Source organism: Homo sapiens, chromosome 15 (genome assembly GCF_000001405.40).
Source record: "Homo sapiens chromosome 15, GRCh38.p14 Primary Assembly".
NCBI classification, from domain to species: Eukaryota; Metazoa; Chordata; class Mammalia; order Primates; family Hominidae; genus Homo; species Homo sapiens.
Window position 1 is genome coordinate 61,728,605 of NC_000015.10, and position 3,897 is coordinate 61,732,501.

The 3,897-nt window shown below is 38.9% G+C and overlaps 1 long non-coding RNA gene across 1 annotated transcript; it reads left to right on the top strand.

Annotated features, from left to right (window-relative positions):
- Positions 1-1,313: 1,313 nt before the first annotated feature.
- LINC02349 (long intergenic non-protein coding RNA 2349) lies at positions 1,314-2,785 on the top strand. The gene is made up of 2 exons (NR_146448.1): positions 1,314-1,400; positions 1,978-2,785. It is a non-coding gene; the product is annotated as a long intergenic non-protein coding RNA 2349 (long non-coding RNA).
- The last annotated feature ends 1,112 nt before the right edge of the window (positions 2,786-3,897 follow it).

The window sequence follows — 3,897 nt, forward strand, 5'->3', positions numbered from 1 at the left end:
GGTTCTGAATGGCCATCCTCTCCGGGTTGTAGTGACCGCCCTCTCCTGTCCCTCTGCAAGCCCAAGAGGTAACAGTTCCCCCACTGATTTTAGCCCTAGGGTAGGGCACTTCCTTTGGTGGTGGTCTTTCACCTTACTCATGCTTTTGTAAATAGTCCTGCTCCTCAATTTCCCCATGCTATGAGCATGGAAAGAGAGATGAAGCTATACTACCCAAGAAACAAAAAGGGACCTACTTCACAGTAATTAAAGAAACCCTCATGTATCCAGGAAAGGTAACAATATTATTATGTAGAAAGGGAGCAACTGAAAACAAAATCATTAGCGGAACTTCATGCCACAATTCTAGCAACTATCCCTGCTTCTGTGTGTCTAGGCTTTAAATGAGATAATTAATATAAGAGCATATTAAATCTTATTTTTAAAAGGGTTAAAAGTAGTAAATACCTAAAGGAGTGAATCGTGTAAGCAAAACCAATTTTTCTCATCTGTAAAACTAATTATTTTTATTATTATCCTTCAATTTGAACAGTTTACCAGGTGCTCTTAAATGTGTCTTCTTATTTGATGTGTCCCTTACACCAGCCTTGGAAAGGGGTAGGATTTTTCCCCTTTATAATATGGAGAATTGTGCTCTGAAAGTTTAAGGCATTTGCTCACAAACTCACATAAGTGATCCAGGCAGATGTTCCGGGCTCTACCCACCATATAAGCCTAATTCAGGGGAGGTTTGCAGTTGTGGTGGCCAATAGGTTTCACACAAACAGTCAGTTTGCATTGGTTGGTAGTAACTGTGATGTGTTGAAAAGATTCTGAGGCTATCTGGACTCAAGAGAAAACAGTATCTCAACTAGCAATGTCTGGCAAGACACAGAATTGAGGAGCAATACCATGCCTCCTACGGATTTTCTGCCTTGACATAGTGTTTGACAGCATGGGCTTTGGAAGGGTGAAGGCCTAAGTCAGGGCCTGACTCAGTCTCCCCACTCAACCTTCTGATAGTCTCGTCTGCTATCAAAGGTCATAATATTAACTTCCCCACAGAGCTGCTCCTTTTTGTTCCCAACCTAAACTTATTTTCCCATGAAAAGAAGCACCACCCTTATCTAAAAGGACAAATCATGCAGAGAAAACTATGAACAGCATCCATTCTAGACTTAACAATTCAATCAATAAAAGTAGCAAAGTGCAGAAGGGGATGAGCTGGGCTTTGAGTTAGGAATGCTGGCATCTGTCCCAGTTTTCCTTTCATAATTTGTTCTAGGGCTATGGAGATGCTCATAAAGGATTCTCATTCCTATTGTAAGCCAGAGAGAATGCAATCCAATGCAATGTTTCGATCATGGAGTCTTTATTGGACACAGGCTGGCATGAGTTGATGGCACCTGAAAATCAGCAAGGTACTTTCCAAAATAATTTATAACGCTTCCTTAAAAGTAGGTCCTGTTTGTCAGTCTTGGTGAGTTCTGTCTGACCTGGGTAATCATCAGCACATGAGTTAATTTTTTCAATAACGGTTTCTTAATCTAGAAAATGAGATTGTTGGAACATAATTTTTTAAAAAAGAGTAATTTTCCTACTGGGAAAAGGAGTATGAAAACTATTTTTGTCAGTTTCCTAACTTTCTTGGTGTTATATTGTCTTTGTAGTAATGAAAATAATGGTAATAATATCATAATGTAATGTCTGTTTGAACTGTTATTCCTCCCTTTAGAATCAATTTATTTTTCTCTTCTTATTTTTTTGGTGCCTTTGATTACCTCTCTTACTTTTTAAACTTTTTGTAATGCTTTTATTTTTGTAAACATTCGTTTTCCTTGCAGAATGCAGCATGTGAGCATTACGTGCATGCTTTGTTCATGATAATAACTGAGGTATGCCAGAAAACCTCCCATCCTGAAATACATCCTCCTCACGCATGAAACTCCATGTTTCTAATAGTGGAATCCGTCCCTCTGGCTTGTGTTGTCTTTGCAGCTACAAATGCTCCTGGGAGGAACAGCATCTTCAGTCTCTAAACCTTGGTGCAGCTGAGTTTATTAGAGGTTTTCCAGACCTTAACAAGAGCCTGTGACAGTACTAAGACCCTGGGGATGGTGCGAAGGAGTCTGGAACCAGGAGGCTGCTGCGTTTTACAGGATACTGGAGCCCAGTTCTCAATCAAACGCTAGAGCTCAGAAAGACATGCCTCTCAGATCTGTCTACCTTTAAGCATTTTTTTAATTAATAACTGGATATTGACCATTAAAACCATCACAGGTATAGGAGTTTGTTGACTAAAATTTGTATTATAGATACAACTGAAATGTTTACAAATCTTTATAAGAAAATCATTACTACTTGGGTCAGAAGCAATGCAAGTCAAGCTTAGGTCTATGGTTTTTGCTCCTGATCAGTAATATGTAGATGGCATGTGTTCTCTTACCCTCTCTAAATCTGGAAAGATGCATTTCATAGTACCTCTAATCTCAAAAATTTTAACTTTCACTTTTAATTGTTGAAAATGTCATTCTGAAATCCAACAATGAATGAGTGAATGTGTATATATTCATCATATACTTGTACACACACACACAAATAAAACCTGTATCTCACGGCCCACATATCTTGCTTAAGCTGCTCTTTCAGGAAGATTTATGACACTCTGCTTCACAAAGAAAGTTTAAAAGAGAGAAAGAAAACGAAATGAAACAGTGACTGTTCCCTAGTGCAATTACTCTGTCAAATACTCCCCTAGGGAAAGGAATTTGCTCTTATTGTGAAATAAATTAATATAGAAACCAGACTCCTGCAGTAACTTTTCTTTATCCCCAGGCAGTATTTTCCCACTACTGCTCTCAAAATTCACTTTTGGCGATACACATATGGGAGGTTGGAAATAGCTAGAAATTATATGTTTGAATTTAAATATATTCCCATTTCCATAAATGTTAGCAGCTCCCCAAATTATCAGGGAGTACACAATCATTTAGAGATCGCCTGCCTCAGAAATCAATTGCTTGTCCTCTTCATCCTTGGTGGGGGGTGGAGGAGGAGAGGGAGCACTTTGTCTTACCACCTTTTCAAGCCCACAAATAAGAATTTCTTTCCCAGAAGCTGCCACTTGCAAAGAAAATTTGGAATGACAAGGCCCATTGGGCTGCAAGAAGAGTGTAGACACGTCTAAGCTTAGTTAGTCCTTTTTCCAAAATCCACAACTCAGCATTCACTGGGAACCTTCACTCGCCACATGCCAGCTCAAGCCCTCCGTGATTCCTAATTAGGCGTTCACTACTCAATTAGTGCCCCATTAGCCTCGTACCATGTTAACTTTAAACTACTGGTTACATTTCTCTTCACTTCAGCCATATTATGAATGGATAGAACTTACAAGCAATCATGAAAACCCTTGCCAGCTGAAATTCACTCTAATCTTAAAACAACATAAGAGCAGTATATGTAAAATCGATTAGGGACTGTCTTAACCAAACTACAGAGCAAAGCAGGGTCTTTTAGGAGGAGGCTATTCAAGGGGGAAAAATAGGGAATATATAGTGCAAATAAATATCAGGCACACAGAAGTGAAGATAATAACTAAATGCTCCATGCTGACCTTTATGATTTGTGATTCTGTGCCTTCCCTTTCTACGTCATGGAAGCCTTACTGATGAACAGGTATAAACCTCTTTTTGTAGCTTCCTAGGGGCAGATATTTCCATCTCTAAGTTATTTCACTTAGAAACAACTAATATGGATTGAGCTCTTACTTTGTACCAGGCTTTAGTCTATGGGCTTTATATGTTTTACCTGTTTAATTCACACTGCGCTGAAAGTTATCTTTCCTATCTCCATTCAGTGGGAAAGAAAACTGAGGCTTAAAGACCATAGATACCACCGCATAGTGTAGAAAGCAAGAAG